General features: G+C 37.7%; 1 protein-coding gene and 1 long non-coding RNA gene across 7 annotated transcripts in view; one reads left to right on the forward strand and one right to left on the reverse strand.

Moving 5' to 3' along the window:
* The window catches only part of OVCH1-AS1 (OVCH1 antisense RNA 1), a 98031-nt gene that overhangs the window by 34884 nt on the left and 45878 nt on the right, over nt 1-17269 (forward strand). The gene's annotated exons all lie outside the window — the stretch shown is intronic.
* The window catches only part of OVCH1 (ovochymase 1), a 95519-nt gene that overhangs the window by 22010 nt on the left and 56240 nt on the right, over nt 1-17269 (reverse strand). For 2 of the 4 annotated variants that reach the window (XM_011520638.3, NM_001353179.2), the window contains one exon: nt 15676-16567. The exons of the other annotated variants lie outside the window; for them this stretch is intronic. In XM_011520638.3, the coding sequence (XP_011518940.1) occupies nt 16387-16567 (181 nt within the window). In that variant the 3' untranslated portion in view covers nt 15676-16386. Of the gene's footprint in view, nt 1-15675; nt 16568-17269 lie in introns of those variants that run through there. 4 annotated transcript variants of the gene reach the window in all.

Raw genomic sequence — 17269 nt, forward strand, 5'->3', positions numbered from 1 at the left:
TCCTTGTAGGAAACAAAGGGATGGGCCGAAATAAAGGGATGGGTTTGGCTAGTATCTGCAGCAGGAGTGTGTCCTTAAGGCACAGATCGCTTATGCTATTGTTTGTGGTTTAAGAACGCCTTTAAGCAGTTTTCCATCCTGGGTGGGCCAGGTGTTCCTTGCCCTCATTCCAGTAAACTCACAACCTTCCAGCATGGGCATCATGGCCATCATGAAGATGTCACAGTGTTGCAGAGATTTTGTTTTGGGGCCAGTTCATGGCCAGATTTTGGGGGGCCTGTTCCCAACAGGAAACTGTTACTCTGTTTTTCAAAAAGGATGTTTGGGAGCATAAGGCGGTAGGTAGGAGACAGAGAAAAACAGAGAGGTGTAGGGGTTTCCAAAGTCCTGTCAGTGAAGGGACATAGCTTAGTGCTTACAGGCACAGATTCTAAAACCAAACTGCTGGTTTGAACCAACTCTATCCCTTATTAACTATATGGCAAGCTACTCAACCTCTCTCTGTGCCTCGATAATCTCATCTGCAAAATGGAGATAATAACTCCATAATAACCTGCCATATTAACTATATGGCAAGTTATTCAATCTCTGTCTGTGCCTCAGTATTCTCATCTGCAAAATGTAGATAAAAACAATATTTTCTTAGGATTAAATCAGTTGGTATTTACAAAGTATTATACATATTTGTTAAACGAAAATAAACCTCAGCAAAATTTTTACAGCAAATTATTAGACAGATGGTTTTTGAACACTTGGAGGAGGAATCAGTGGTCATGAGAAGGCAACATGGGATCCTTAACACGCCACATTAAATTAACCTAATTTCATTTTTTAAAAGAGCTAATTAGATGGTGGCTAGGGGGAATGGGATGAACTTAATGAACCTTGACTTCAATGAAGCACTTAATAAAGTGCCTGTGATGTCCCTGTGAACAGACAGCAAATGGTACGTAGATAATTATGTGGCTAGGAAGTTCCACAGGTGATTAAATAACCATACAAGAAATGTTAACCTGGAGGGAAGGTCTAAATGGTATGGAAATGATTCTGTCTTTGGTTCCACCGAGTACGGTATTTCATTGATGACTTAGACAGAAATACAGAAAACACATTTATAAAGCCTGTAGGTTGAAGATAGGTGGCTGGAAAAGGGGCTAGTTTAAATACAGGCTCCTAGATTATTAAGTTGAACATTACACCTAATACAGAGTTTACTCTAAAATAATCCAAAACATATAATGCTCGCCTTGAAGATATGACCTGGAACTTATCAGCATTTTCTCCTTTTAAACTGATCTAATTTCTAGACTGTTCTTCCTCTCCTTGTGTCAAAAGGCATCAATGTGATGACTACCACGTGGTTAGAATAGTGGCCAAGAACACAGAGTGCTTCAGTTGAGTCCCACGTTTTCTACTTATTAGCGATGTCACTGGAGGCAATTTATTTAACAGTTTTGTGACTTGCTTGTCTCATATTTAAAATGAAGATAATGTAACCTACCTACATAAGATTGTTAAAAGATTAAGAGTTTTCATCTTCATGAGATTGGGTCTTAGCTCAACAATGCCTGGATAATGGTAAATATTTAATAAGTTATTAGATAATATTAAGCAGAACAAGTTTTGTACATGGCCTGAGAACCTCTCCATGAGAATTCCATGTATATTTAAAAAGAATTATGATCCTTCTGTCTTCTCTCTTCTCCAAGGTAAACATGCCCAGGATGTCCACACCCTTCTACATCCTGCTCATTATGCTCTTTGGATGCACTCCAGTTTGCCAACGTTCCTTAAATTTGTGTTTGACCAAGGGGGATATTCAAAATATTTAGTAACCAGATTGCACACCAACAAGTAAAGAACTTGTGAGACTCAGCTAGTACTATGGTACTATGATTCCCTTTATCTTTTAATTCTTTACTATCGCTGCTCTGAATTTGTAATCATTTGACACCTCTGGAATTAGTTCAAACATCCCACTTTCTAAATCACCACCTCCTAAGTATATTAATATTTCTTTGCTACAATTATTTAATCTCACCATGACCTTCTAAGCCATTGATCCCATAAACTTCCTAAATCCATCAACCCTTTAAAAAGTGAGAAATTTTGCTTTAAAAGGAAGCAGAGAAATGGGATAATTGCTGACTTACATTAGTTTTAGTTTGTTTTAAATGATAGATAATATTAGAACATGTTTGAAACTGATGAGAATGATAGAGAAGATAGACGATGTAGGAGAAAGGATAACTAAATTAGTGAGAAACTGAAAAGTCCCAAATTGATATCTATAGCTCCAAATCCTCCACTAGCTCAAGAGTTCTATCTCTAGCTAACTAGTGGCAACTCAATCTGGATATATCAGAGCAATGTTTTTAGCATGGCCCAAACAGATATCTCTCTATAAATCTTTTTCTCCCTGTCATATTTTCCATCTCCATAAATGCTTTCTCCAGTGTCTCACATCATAAACCTAAGAGTCATTCTTGATTTGCATACTGAATTCCATATTCAATCCATCAGGAAATCCTCTCCATTCTATCTCCAGATCTGTCTACTTCACTCGCATTCCATTATTGTTATCCTCCTCTAAAGCAACATCATCTATTGTCTAAAACAGTGCAATAGAACTTTCTGCAATGATGGAGCTTTCTATATCTTTGCTGTCCAATATGGTAGTCACTCGCTACATGTAGCTACTGAGCACTTGAAATGTTGGTATTGTCACATTTTACTTCATTTTAACTAATTTACATTTAAATAGCAACATGGATTGGACAGTGCAGGTGTAGACAAGAGCCTCATAACTATAGACACAATTCACTTTGTCACTCCAGATCAGCCTTCAAATTACTCCCCTGTCAAAACTTATGATGACCTCCTATTGAACTGGAATAAAATCCAAAGTCACTATCATAGCCTGAGCTGCACAATTGGAGAAAGCCTCTCTGCTCCACCACCCCACTTCATTCTAGTCTGTCCTTGCTCAATCTCTCTCTAGTCACTCTGACCTCTGACAGTTCCCTAAGTTACCAAGCTCTTCCCTCATTCAGGGCCATTTTTTCCACTTTTTCTTTTAAAAATCAAATATTTTCTGTCAAGCAGTGCTTTAGACATTGAGGATACAGCAAGAACAAAAGAGACAAAGTTCTGTTGCCAGGAAATTTTAATTCTGGTAGAAGAGACAAATTATAAATGAATGAAAGATAATACTCCATCAGGCCATGATCAATCCCTAGAAGAAAAGGTTAAGGAAGGCTATTTAGATTGTATGATAGAGGAGGTCTCAGGTAAGGTAGCATTTGAATGATTGAGGACGTGAAACTTGAGACAGAATGTGCTTGGTTAGAGGCCTCTTCCTCCATGTGAGGACCCAGTGAGAATGGGCTGTGCCTAAGAACCAGAAAGTGAGCCCTTAGCAGGCACCAAATCTGCTGGCACCTGGATCCTGGACTTCTCAGCCTCCATACTGTGAGAAATAAATATTTGTTGTTTGGAAACCACTCAGTCTATGGTATTTGTTATAGCAGCTTGAATGGGGTGATAGCCTAGCTAACGGGGAAGCCAGGAGAGTAGCAACAGGGGTCTATATTCATTAGGTCCAAAATCTTTACAGAAATTGCATGGTTCATTGAAGTAAAATTGTGCGAGCTCACAAATAAATGCAAATCCCTTCACTGTTATATAGAATTACACAGGCTCATTACAGAAATTCAGGTTGTCTCATTTGTAATCATTTGACACCTCTGAAATTTTGATTAATCTGAGCTTTTAAAGAGGAATGATGTTACCAGTTTGGAGAATATTAAAGAGTGAGAAAGAGAAAAGCAGTCCCTGACATACAGAGAACCTGGTCTGATGCTCGCAGCTGGACCATGTTATTTTCCTGTTGGACATACACTGTCTCACAGGACATCAACAGCAGACAGGGCGGTGCTAGTCTATGATAAGGTAAGACAAAAAACGGCTGTGTGCAACCACCAAAATACCACTCTCCTCCCTCTCTTGGCTAAAATGAGGAACTGCTACTGCTTTACCAGTTACAGTTTTATCCTTACTCTAGCCAGGCCTCCTTTTGACTGAGATAGCCATCGTAAAATTGCTCTACTTCCTGACAGAAACCAATTCAGAACAAAGTCCATTTCCTTAGACCCTCTCCAAAATTACCCAAAGCTCTACCTCTATTATAGGTTTTTCTAACACCTTCTTACTGAGATACCCCATGGTTTTCCATGGTGTGTATACTCCCTCTCTGCAATGAGTGCAAAATGCAATTTGTTCAACTACAGGTACATTTCTAGGGTCTTTGGTGAAAGGGTATTGACAGGAATTAGGGTTGAAGAGTATGGTGCTATGGAGACCCATGGTTCATCTTAAGGAAAACCAATAGCTTGAACTTATAAATCTTCCCCTCCTCCATACCCCAATTGCTTTATAATCTAATAAGAGCCATACTTACTGATAGGAAAGTTAGGCAACTTTGGAACTTCAAAGCAAAATTCTGAACTTAATGGTGTTATAAATCTGGAACTATCATAGGAGGGGTCAAGGTCCCTGGAAAAAGAAAGCATCAAAATCCTCCTCTTGACCTGTGCAATAAATGGATTTTAATGGTGTCCTAAGTGGCAGAACTAAGAGGAAACTAGAGAAGTTGATGCAATACTCAATTACAAAATGTTTCAAAAAGTTTCCCTCTATGAGTCAGTCTCATGATGGAATACTGCCAAATGCTCAAGCATGACAGACACTATGTGACCAATACATTTCTAAAGATTATTCAAGCTTGGTAAGTGAGTGTAGCTCACTGGTAGACAGGTGCCTCTCATGTACAAGGCCCTGAGTTTGACTCCCAGCACCTCCAACCATTAATTTCTTAGTCCTCAGCACCACTCATCGGTAAAGATTATTCTGGCTAATGGAACTTTTCTCCACTTTAATTTATCTGAGGTCTAAAAAGGGCCATCTATATTATGAGTATAAAACCTGATACTGGTAACACTGAGTAAATACATTTTCAAAAAAGTTACCATCTAAAAATGCCATTTAGGAAATAAAATCCTTTAAAACATATGGCATCTGGACAAAACCAAGAGTGCCAACTAATGGTTAAATGAGATAGGAATTTTTGTACTAAAAAGTCAAGACAAGCCAGGATTGGGAAGGAATAAAGATCCAGTGAGTGTGATCTCATACTCATCCAACTGTGCTCAATAATGCTATAGGATTCTAATGAAGGATCTGATGAGAAATCACTGACAACAAATGCTATTGTTCCCAAGGCCAATGTAGGTCATGTTTTACATGTATATTCATTATATAAATACTTGGTGCCAGTTAGTGTAGGCCATTTAAGAAAGATAAATTTACAAAGTAGAATTGATTGCTGATATGGTCTATCATAAATATTATATAATCCCAATCACAGTTCAAAGATTCTTCTGTTATAAAGTCTTTAATCATGGCCTTCATTTTATTTACTGTTGTGGAATAAAAAGTCCAAGTGTAATTCAGCATGTTGAGTTAACTGTTAGGATAATCAAGAGATGTGATCTCAACAGAAGTCACTGGAATCAAATCCAATACTGGACATCCTTGAGACAAAGAGAAAAAATATACAATAATCAAAAAGAGAAGTTACTTGAATCTAATTGGAATGTCTACAAGTAGGTCATTAAAACCTAAACTGTAGCATACTTTATTAATTCCTATCATTGCTTCTTGGTATCCACAGATCCTTACTTATGTTTAAATGACTTCTGTTTGGAAAAACGGACCCCCACTTCAAAAGCAAACAGCCTGAATTATTTGACCTTAAATCACAAACTGTAAATCCATTAAGTCACACCACGTCTACATTTCAATTTATTTTTGTCACTCCTATTTCATACATGATCTTATTTAGGTTTCACAATCATAAGATACAGGTATTATTATCTTCAGTCTAGAGGTGTGTGAATTGACACTTGATATTCAAGAGATGTGACCTAAGATCTTTAGGACTTCTCTAAATTTGCAAATGCCATAGTAATATTTCACTTCCCCCATAACTGCATAAAACATAACTTCAATATCATTTATGAAATAGCATTAGCACTATTTTTGTGCTGGTTGGCCCCCTGCCAGGAGGTGGCATTTTCCAGAGAGCACCAGCTGTGGTCGAATGGGGAGGAACAGGTGATAGGCGGGCCCCTAGAACTCCCAAGAGTATATGCCCTCTGCAGTGACCAAGGTGGGTAGGGAAGGACCATTAGGTGGGGGCAGGGCTAAGTGTGTCTGAGCTCAGACTCTCCTTGGCCAGGTCTTGCTACAGCTGCTGTGGGAGATTGGGGTGAGGTTCCCAGGTCAATGGAGTTACATTCCTAGGAGGATTATGACTGTCTCTGCTGTGTCATGCAGGTTTTCAGGGAAACTGGGGGAGAGCTGACAGTCACAGACCTCACCCAGCTCCACACAATCCAAAGGGCTTGTCTCACTTCCACCATGCCCTCTCCAAAAGCACTGAGTCTGTTTCCAGGCAGTGGGTGAGCAGAGCTGGAGAATTTGTCCCAGGCTACCCACCTCCCAGCTGCGAAATCAAGTATGGCTTTCCTTCTATTCCTGCCTGTGGAGTCTGCACACCAGATTAACACCCTCCCTTGAGTTCTGGCCAGGAGGCTTCTTGATCAGTTCAAATTGTTACAAAGTTCAGTTGGAGAGTTCCTTCTCCATGTGGCCTTTTCCCAGTACCTCTAGCTGCCCTCCCAGAGTACCCCTGTGAGTCCAGGCAGAAACGGTTTGCTAAGGCACCAAGCAATCTCCCAAGGCTATGATTGTATTTAATTTTTCCTCTCATGGAATATAGAATAAGAACATTCAGGGTCAATACACCCAATTAAACTTTTATAACATATTTCTTTATTCTGATTATAAAAGCAATGCATATATGCTCATTATAGAAAGTTTCAAAAATAGAGTCCAAAGGAGGAGATAAAAAGTTGTGTTGGGTATGGTGGTTCACGCCTGTAATTCCAGCACTTTGGGAGTCCATGGCAGGAAGATTGCTTGAGCCCAGGAGGTTGAGACCAACCTGGGTAACAGCAAGACCTCGTCTCTACCAAAAAAAACAAAAGTGCTAGCCAGGTATGGTGGTGTGTACTTGTGATCCCAGCTACTTGGGAGGCTGAGGTGGGAGGTTCACTTGAGCCTGGGAGGTTGAAGCTGCGGTGAACCATGATCACACCACTGCACTGCAGCCTGAACAGAGCAAGACCCTGTCTCAAAAAAAAAATCCTCCTATAGTCCCTCCTTTAAGCAACCAATATTCATGTTTTAATGTAAATCTTGCAAAGTCTTTCTATGCTGTATATGTTTAAAAAATTGTATTCCATTTTATACCATTACAACATTTTCCCCCTATTTAATTTATTGTGACCATTTTTCCATGCTACTAACTACCTCATATAAATTATAATGGCTCTATATTTCTTATTCACATAGACATATCATAATTTCTCATAGCGTGTTTTATCTGCAATCTTAAGAACACAAAATGAGTCAGATCTTGAATAAACCTCACACATGGGGTATATAAATCTATTATAATTCTTCTGTCACGAAAAACATGTCTACATTAAAGGTTTTCTATGTTTATCTGAAAAACAGAATGAATATATGTAATAAGAGTCTCTTACCTGAGTTAACCCCTACTCATACATTAGCTCTCAGGCAGGAGGATTCGCCTAAGCAAAATAGACACGTTTGTTAACCCATTCATCAGCTAAGGAGCTACCTCCTTATTTTCCACTCCTACTCTGCCTTAGCTGAAATGTCATTACCTTTATTCAAATAAACAATTCTTGAGTACTATTTACCACGCATAGTTATAGGTTTCAGGGATATAGCAGAGGGCATGCTTGCTGAGGAACAGCAGCAAGGTTGGCATGGCTGGGTATGAAGTGAGCACTGGGAAAAGTAGCAGGGGAAGACATCAAAGGGATAGTCAAGAGCCAGATCCTATAGCATCTTGTAGGCACTATAAGGACTTTTACTATGAATGAGTTAGGAAAACATTGGATTATAAACATGATCTCAATTACTCATTTTAAAATGATCACTTTGGCTATTACACATAAAACTGGCTAAAGGAAGGCTGTACCAAAATATTATGGTGGAATTGTTCAGAAGTAGTAGCATTCTAGCTCTATTTTACTGAAAGACCTACTGATGAGCTATACTTGATGTGGAATGTGAGAAATCAAGGTGGACCAAGTTTAATGGCCTGAGTAATTAATTAGCAAAATGGAGTTGCTATCTACTAAGGTGGGAAAGATTGGTGGAGGAAGAGCTTGGAGGCAGGGGTAGGAAATCAAGGGTTCAATTTTGGTCATGTTAAGTTTGAGATTCTTATTAGATAGCCAAGTGGAAGGGGAGACACTTGGATATACAGTGCTAGTGTTCAATAAAGAAGCTGGGACTGGATATATAAATTTGGAAGTTATCACTGTATAGATGGTATTTAAAGCTAGAGAATGGGTGAGATCACTAAGGAAGGAGTATAGGTAAAGAAAGGAAGAGAGTCAAAGACTGGGTCCTGGGATACCTCAACTGACAGTGATAGAGAAAATGAGGAAAAACCAGCCAAGACTCTGAAGGAGACCAGTGAGCTCTCCTTTTTTGGAGACCAAAACAAGTGAGATTTGAGGAGGGAGAGCTCGTCTGTGTCATGACTGAGAAGGGACTACCAAATCTGGACTTGTGGAAGTCATTGATAGCTTCAGCAAGAACAGTGTCCATGAAATGGTAGGAAAAAAATAAAGCCATATGAGGATAAATTCAAGAAAAACGAGAGGGCAAAAGGGGAGACAGTGAGTATAAATAACTTCCATGGAGTCTTGCTAAAAAAAAGAGAAATCCAAGTTTTCCTTGATTCCCTTCCCTGTCCTCCATCGAAGTAAACAAGCTTCCTCTGTTATATATTTTTGTTGCACACTGTATTTTTTTCTTTATAACTGATATGGTTTTGCTGTGTCCACACCCAAATCTCACCTTGAATTGTAGCTTCCATAATCCTCATGTGTCTGGGGAGGGACCCGGTAGGAGGTAATTGAATCATGGGGGTGGGCTTTTCCCATGTTGTTCTCGTGATTATGAATAAGTCTCACAAGATCTGATGGTTTTATAAAAGGCAGTTCCCCAGCACACGCTCTCTTGCCTGCTGCCACATAAGACGTGCCTTTACTCCTCTTTCACCTTCCGCCATGATTATGAGGCCTCTCAAGCTGTGTGGAACTGTGAGTCCATTAACCCTCTTTTTCTTTATAAATTACCCAGTCTCAGGTATTTCTTCATAGCAGTATGAAAATGGACTAATACAGTAACTTAATATACTATATATTTTTATATGATTATTGACGATCTCCATTACTAGACTGTAAGTGCTACTATGGCAGGGACTGTCTTGTTCATTGCTCAATCTTCATTTCTTTGAATAGTGCCTGGCATATTCCTACAACAATTTGTTGGTGGTCTGAATAATTCTCGGTTTAAATGTGAGATTTTTTTCTATTTTATGTTAGTCCCTTATGATATACTTACATAACTTAAATTTGATGCAAATTTCTTCTGTTTTCTTTTTCCAACACTTCTTACATTATCATACTAAAATTAAGTAAAATGTTTTTAATGGAAATGCCTCCCAAACTGTATTTCAATTAACATGTCCAAAAAAAAAAGAAACAAAAGGTAAAATGGGCAGTAAAGCAAAGCCTGCTGGCTGATTAAAAAAAAATGAGTGTGAATGGATTAATCTTAAGTACTGAGGGAATTCTAATAAATATTCAGAATTAAATATAATGGCAAATGTTTCTCTATGATATCCGATTTCTATAATTTGCAATAGTTACCCGTTTTCATAATGCTATTAGTGCCTTTGCTCAAACCACAGGATGACGGACAAAGCGTATCTTTCAAAAATCTGGTTACAACTAACACATATGAACTAATCAAACAAGTAAAGAAAAAAAGGACAAATTATTCTTGATATTAGTACATTCAGGAAGTGAATTCCAAAAGAGAAAAGCTACTTGAAACTTCTTTGCTAGGGATAAAAATTTCTGACTGTATTGTCGCAATATTCCAAGTATCCAGAAAAATAAAGAGTATGCTTAGGTGTTAAAAAAAATCTGCTCAATCTTGTACTTCATACAGGTTTAGCATGAGGCCTCCACAGATTACAGAAGTCAGAATTTTAAATATTATATTTTTGTCCTTTCCTAAAGCTGACAAATGAAACAAAGAATTACAATCTATTAATTTACTTATTCGATAACAAAATTTTCCCAATAAAGCACAATAAATTGAACAAAAACATACATATGGAACAAAAGAAGCACAAGAAATTGAACAAAAACAACAAATAGGGAAAAAATGGACTTACCAGAAATACAAAAAGAGTCTCTCAGAGAAAACTCTTCATGGCCAAAATGACATTATATGTGAAAATCGTAAGAGATTTTCATAAAAGTGAATCTCTTTCACATAATTTACCTTGTCCCCAACAACAAAAAAAAACCTTACTATTCATCAAGACAAAGATTATTGAGCAAAGTAAAAAATTCTTATGTTTGAAATTATAAATTTCTGCTATATCAATATAAAAATGGGAAAAATAACTGAATAAAAGCCAATTAGAATAGAGAGCTGGATGTTCCCTATTCCTGAGTCTAAGCAGTTTTAAGACAGTAGTTCTAAATCAACTAGGACATAATGCCCAGTTCTTATGATGTCGGAATAACTTAGGTACATCTTTTAAAAACTATATGTTGTAAGAAAAGGTGACATGGTCTAAGACTGGGTCCTCAGGGAACTAAAAAGTTATTGCTGTCACCAAACTGAAATATAATATTTTTAGCAAGTATATTTGAGCTTTAGCTACATATAACCTTCATTTATCCACAGTGGCCAAATTTATAACAGGCAAGTTGCAGTAATTGCCACACAAGTCAAACCCATTAGTTGGTCAAAATGAAACATTTTAGACAGTATTTCTTAGAACAGCCAGACCCGTGGCGTGAGCCTGTAGTCCCAGCTACTGGGGAGGCTGAGGAACAGGATTGCTTGAGCCCAGGAGTTCAAGGCTGAATACACTACGATCATATCTATGAATAGTCACTGCACTTGAGCCTAGACAACATAGCGAGAACCTGTCTCTTAAAAACCACTTTTTTTTTGAGACGGAGTCTCGCTCTGTCGTCCAGGCTGGAGTGCAGTGGCGCGATCTCGGCTCACCACAAGCTCCTCCTTCTGGGTTCACGCCATTCTCCTGCCTCAGCCTCCCGAGCAGCTGGGACTACAGGCGCCCGCCTAATTTTTTGTATTTTTAGTAGAGACAGGGTTTCACTGTGTTAGCCAGGATGGTCTTGATCTCCTGACCCCGTGATCCGCCCACCTCGGCCTCCCAAAGTGCTGGGATTACAGGCATGAGCTACCGCACCCGGAGGCCCCGTGACTTAAAAAGGGTATTGGTAATAGCAGTTTCCTTCAACCTCCCACTACCCTAAGATTTCTAAAGCACCCCTCAGAAGATGATGTAATCTCATCTGGTTCCCTTTCTTGTGAGGCAGGCTGCTAAATGGTTTGAATACTGTCATGAAGCTCCCTGTAACTGCTCCACTATGAATCCATTTCAGCTTGTAGAACAAGACATATTTTTCCTCCTTCTTTTCCCTATTTATAGCCTTAAAATTAGAAATGTTTATTTATTCACTGGGAAAAATTTAGAGAATTTCAAAAAAAATTACTCATAATCTTATAAAGATGTCCAATTAAACATATTGATCTTTTTAGACCTGTATTTCATTTACTTTTTAAACAAATTTGAATTATATAGTTCATCCTGATTTTCTCACTCAATATGACAGGTGTTTTATTTTAAAAATTATGTGACAATATTTTATTTAATGGCTGCATAAATTTATAATTTATATTATATTTTTGTTAATTATTTAGACTAAGATTTAGACTATTTTCCATTTTGGCCACTATAAAAATGCTGAATGAATCTAGTGTGTTAACATCTCTGCACATACATAAAGCTTATTTTAATAATATAAGTATAGCTAAAAGTTGAGACACCCAGTACTTTATGAACTTAGTTTTGAAAAATATTTCTCTAGAAAACATACTCCAAGTTATACCTCAGTGAGATGAAAATACATGTTATATAACATTTGACAAGTATAATCATTCTTCAAAATTGTTGTCAATTTAGCAGTTAAATTTTCTCATTTGTTTTAAAAAGGCCAAATATTATATTTTTTATGTATTTGTCTATAAATTTCTCACTCAGCTCATTTTGTGTCCAGAATTTATTCCTTCTAGTGGGTTCTTGGTCTTGCTGACTTCAAGAATGAAGCCGCAGACATTTGCGGCGAGTGTTACAGCTCTTAAAGATGGCGTGTCTAGAGTTTGTTCCTTCAGATGTGTCCAGAGTTTCTTCCTTCCGGTGGGTTCATGGTCTTGCTGACTTCAGGAGTGAAGCCGCAGACCTTCACAGTTGAGTGTTACAGCTCTTAAAAGTGGCGCATCCAGAGTTGTTTGTTCCTCCGGGTGGGTTTGTGGTCTCACTGACTTCAGGAGTGAAGCTGCAGACCCTCGTGGTGAGTGTTACAGCTCATAGAGGTAGTGCGGACCCAAAGAGTGAGCAGCAGCAAGATTTATTGTGAAGAGCGAAAGAACAAAGCTTCCACAGCATGGAAAGGGACCCAAGCGGGTTGCTGCTGCTGGCCCCGGTGGCCAGCTTTTATTCCCTTATCTGGCCCCGCCCACATCCTGCTGATTGGTCCATTTTACAGAGTGCTGACTGGTCCGTTTTTACAGAGTGCTGATTGGTGCATTTACAAACCTTTAGCTCGATACAGAGCGCTGATTGGTGCATTTTTACAGAGTGCTCATTGGTGCGTTTACAAACCTTTAGCTAGACACAGTGTGCTGATTGGTGCATTTACAAACCTTTAGCTAGACACAGAACGCCAACTGGTGTGTTTAGAATCCTTTAGCTAGACAGAAAAGTTCTCCAAGTCCCCACCCAATCCAGAAGCCCAGCTGGCTTCACCTCTTAATTTGTCATTTTTAAAAGTAGGGTATGTCATGGACAACAGTGATTCTGAATTGTAATATGGAATTGGTTAGACCCTTATTTATTGTACTTAATAATTTTTTCATATTATGAATCCCCTAATTCTAAAGAAAATCCCTCAGTGTTTTATACTCGAGTTAACTAGAGGTAGATCAAGATGGTCATAGTCATGGGTGAATTATCATAAGGGTGATAATTTGCTTCAAAACTATCTCTAAGTTTAACTGATCATACACAATATGTTCTGAAACAAACATTCTAGTAAATGTAGTTTGCTGTAACACTCATAGTTTTCAAGGTTTCAAATCAAGGATCCTAAGAACTAGTATGCTTTCCATGATTACAGGAAAACTCTGCCCTCTTTAGTAAAGAGATGGCCAGAGGATCAATTTCATTGTGACAAGAAACAAGAGATTTAATTTAGATTGTGTAGTAACTGGTATGTAAATATTCAGTAACCTTTCTTATCTATCAAAAGAGGCTAATGGTTAATCCTGTGTTTTGTGTTCTCAAAAGCACTTGGGTCAACAGTGTGTCATTCTTTTGAAAAATAAGTGGAAAACAGAAGGCACAGGACCTCTGGTTTAACTTTAATCAAGACTAAGTCAAAGGTATCTAGGTTCTATAAATTTATTTTACAGATTTTAGCTTTTCTATTATTGATCTGTAAACACTTCTTATATTAATTACTTCAGACTTTTCTCAGCATAGTTGAAAATCCCATGTATTTGCTTTTTAGTTTTGTTTCTGTGGATGCAGAAGAGTTTTTAATTACACAGGAACTTATTAATTTGTTTTCTTCTACTACTTTTATATGAGAAAGTCCTTCTCCATATGGTTAACTACCAATATTTTCCACTTTTAATGCCTTAGGTAAACTAACTCCTTTATCAGCTACTGTATGATGTGAAGAATAATTTTATACATTTTCTGAGTGGTAATGCCAAATTAACCACATAAAATGGTCTTAAATTTTCTAGGGCCCCTTCTAATCTATTTTCAATCACATGTTTCTTCTGATAGTTTTAATTACCATGGTTTTAGAGTATACTTTAATATCTGATAGAGCAATTCTACCTTAACCATTTGGCCATTCTTTCCCCAAGAGATTTTCAACTAGTGCTATTTACTTTACAAGATAAACTTCGGAGTTAATTTCCTCTTCATCCCTCCAGAAAAAAAAAAATTCCATTGGGATTTAGTTGGAAAATATATTTTTAAATTAATTTGTGTTGAATTAATATGAGTTATATCTTTCAGTTTTGGAACATGGTACTTTTATCTATGCAAATCTTTGTGTGTTTGTATGTATTTGTGTGCCACACAGGCACCTTAATAAAGTTTCATAGTTTGAATAATAAATCTCAAATTTTAGGGTTATTCCTAGTTATTGTATGGCTTTTATTACTAAATGTAATTGAAGTAATTTTTCCATTATATCTTCTACATTTTACTGCTATGGTTTTAAGATTACAATTGCTATATAATTTGTATCTATTTTTTCTCATTTACAGTAGAAAATCTTAATATATAATACATTTTAATATTCAATTTTCCTTGTGTTCTTGGGATAAATCCTATTTGGTTCTGTCAAATGTTCATCAAATAATCTGCTGAGGTCAAGCATTGACTTAACCCTGAGGTGGTTGAGAGTATACCATCCTGGTACAAGGGTTATTTTCAGCAGAAAGCAATTGAAAATAAAATGTAGACAGAAGAAAAACTCTCTGCCCTCCCACTATCTCCACTAGGAGGGCAGAACAATTCTTAATTAGAGACAAATCTCGACTCTTATCAGCCCAGAGATGGCACCAGAAGAATCTACATAACAAATCTTTCTAAAGTAACTTTTATTTTCTACAACTGTCCCCAATATATTCACCTTCCTACAATATGCCACCCCTAGAAGCTCAAAGTCCTTTGCCTTTAGAAGCTCAAAGTCCTTTTCCTTTATTTTGTCACTTCTCTTATTTATTGTTCTTTTTGTTAAGATGTTATATAAGCCCAAGTTCTAATCACCTCTTTGAGTTACTCACCACTGAATTTTCCCATATATGCATGATATATGTGTTAATAAAATTCAGTTTTTCTCTTTTTAATATGTCTTTTGTCAGTATCATTGCCAGAGTTCCAGCGAATGAAGCTAAGATGGTCTGAGAAAAACAAACAAACAAACAAACAAAAAACAAAAAGCAAAAAACAAAAAACAAACTTCTCTACACCAACTAAAGGAAAAATCTCTATCTCTACTACAACTACTGCTACTCTCGGTACTTTACCTCTCACACCAGATGTATGGGATTTTTTCCCTCCACAACAATTGGGTATCTTACAATTCAATTCCATTCTGACATTATCTACCTTGGGTTAGCACGGACTGCACAGGTTAAGAGCTCGGTTTCACAAGACTGCTCTCACTCCCCACTTCAGATGCCAATTGCAAGTCCAGGTTGTCACATGTGCTACTGACTGCCCAGCAATAAATCAGAGGTTCCCACGATCCCCTCCTCAGGTTTGATAATTTACTAAAACAACTCACAAAATTCAGGGAAACACTTTACTTGTGTTTACCTATTTATTACAAAGGATATAATTCAGGAACAGTCCAATGAAAGATGTATAGGGCAAGATATGGAGACTGGGCACAGAGCTTCAATGTTCTTTCTGGGTACACCATCCTCCCAGCACCCTCCGTGTGTTCACCAACCCAACTTTATGAACTCTCCTTTTGGGGTTTTATGAGGGCTTCATTACATAGACATGATCAATCACATCATTGGCAATTGCTGATTAAGTCAATTTCCAGTCCCTCTCCCCTACCCAGAGGTTGGGCTATAAGTTCTAAACTTCTGATCACAGGATTTGTTCCTCTGGATAGATGGGTAGAAGAGAAATATTTTTTTACCTTTCCTATACCCCAGAGCTTGTAAACCTTATTTAGAGAAATTGAAATAGAGTCATAAAACTTTTGGGGAGAAGGAAATAGAAAACAGTAGGTTTTATGAATTAATTCTAAGTAAAGAACAGATATACAGTTGATTAACATTATAAGTAATAATTGATATTGCTAATGTACTCTTCCTTCTCTGTCCCCTTCTTTATTTCTTTGTTTTTCCAATCTTTGTGTGCCCTTTCACCCATAGAAGAGGCAATAGGGTGACAGTCTAAACTCCTCCAAGCAGCACAATTTTAAGAATAGGAATCATAATAGATATTTCTAATCCAAATAAAATGCAAGCTTGGTTTCTTAGTATTGATTAACATGCCTTCTCTTATTTAATTCTCAAAACAACCTCATGAGGCAGTGCATGGTAACAGGTGTTCTGTAGGGCAAGAAAGATAGAAGTATACATCATTTTCATAGATACTGCAGTCTCCCCACAAGAAGCTGTGGTCTTCTTGGTGCTGAATTGGCTTAGGAACCAAGAAAGCTCAGTGCTCATCAACATTCTCCTAAATAGAAACACAAATATTCTTAATGCACTTACTTCTAGGATGGTATTGTAAATCTGAAGAATAAAAAAGACAGCAGTTTAGCAATTGGATTTTTTACCCACTCTGAGAGGACCCTACCTGCATGGAGAGTGACACTTGTATCTGGGCCCTTCTTAGGAAGGCAAAGGCCAGCAAAAAGCCATACATCCTCTTTCTCTGGGCTTTTACTTCATTACGCATTGGTATCCTTGATTAAGTAAACTGGGAATTCATAGACCATAGTGTGCATGGTGGTGGGGTGTTTCCTCTCACAAATGAGGAAACTGAGTCTTAGAAAGATTTGAGATAATTCCCAAAGTCCCATATATCCCATGGTGTCCAGAAATGTTGGTTGACCACCCAAAATCCTTGTGGGTTGACAACCCGCATTGCCAAGTCAATCCTAAGCCAAAAGAACAAAGCTGGAGGCATCACACTACCTGACTTCAAACTATACTACAAGGCTACAGTAACCAAAACAGCATGGCACTGGTACCAAAACAGAGATATAGATCAATGGAACAGAACAGAGCCCTCAGAAATAACGCCACATATCTACAACTATCTGATCTTTGACAAACCTGACAAAAACAAGCAATGGGGAAAGGATTCCCTATTTAATAAATGGTGCTGGGAAAACTGGCTAGCCATATGGAGAAAGCTGAAACTGGATCCCTTCCT

Source organism: Homo sapiens, chromosome 12 (genome assembly GCF_000001405.40).
Source record: "Homo sapiens chromosome 12, GRCh38.p14 Primary Assembly".
Lineage (NCBI taxonomy): Eukaryota > Metazoa > Chordata > Mammalia > Primates > Hominidae > Homo > Homo sapiens.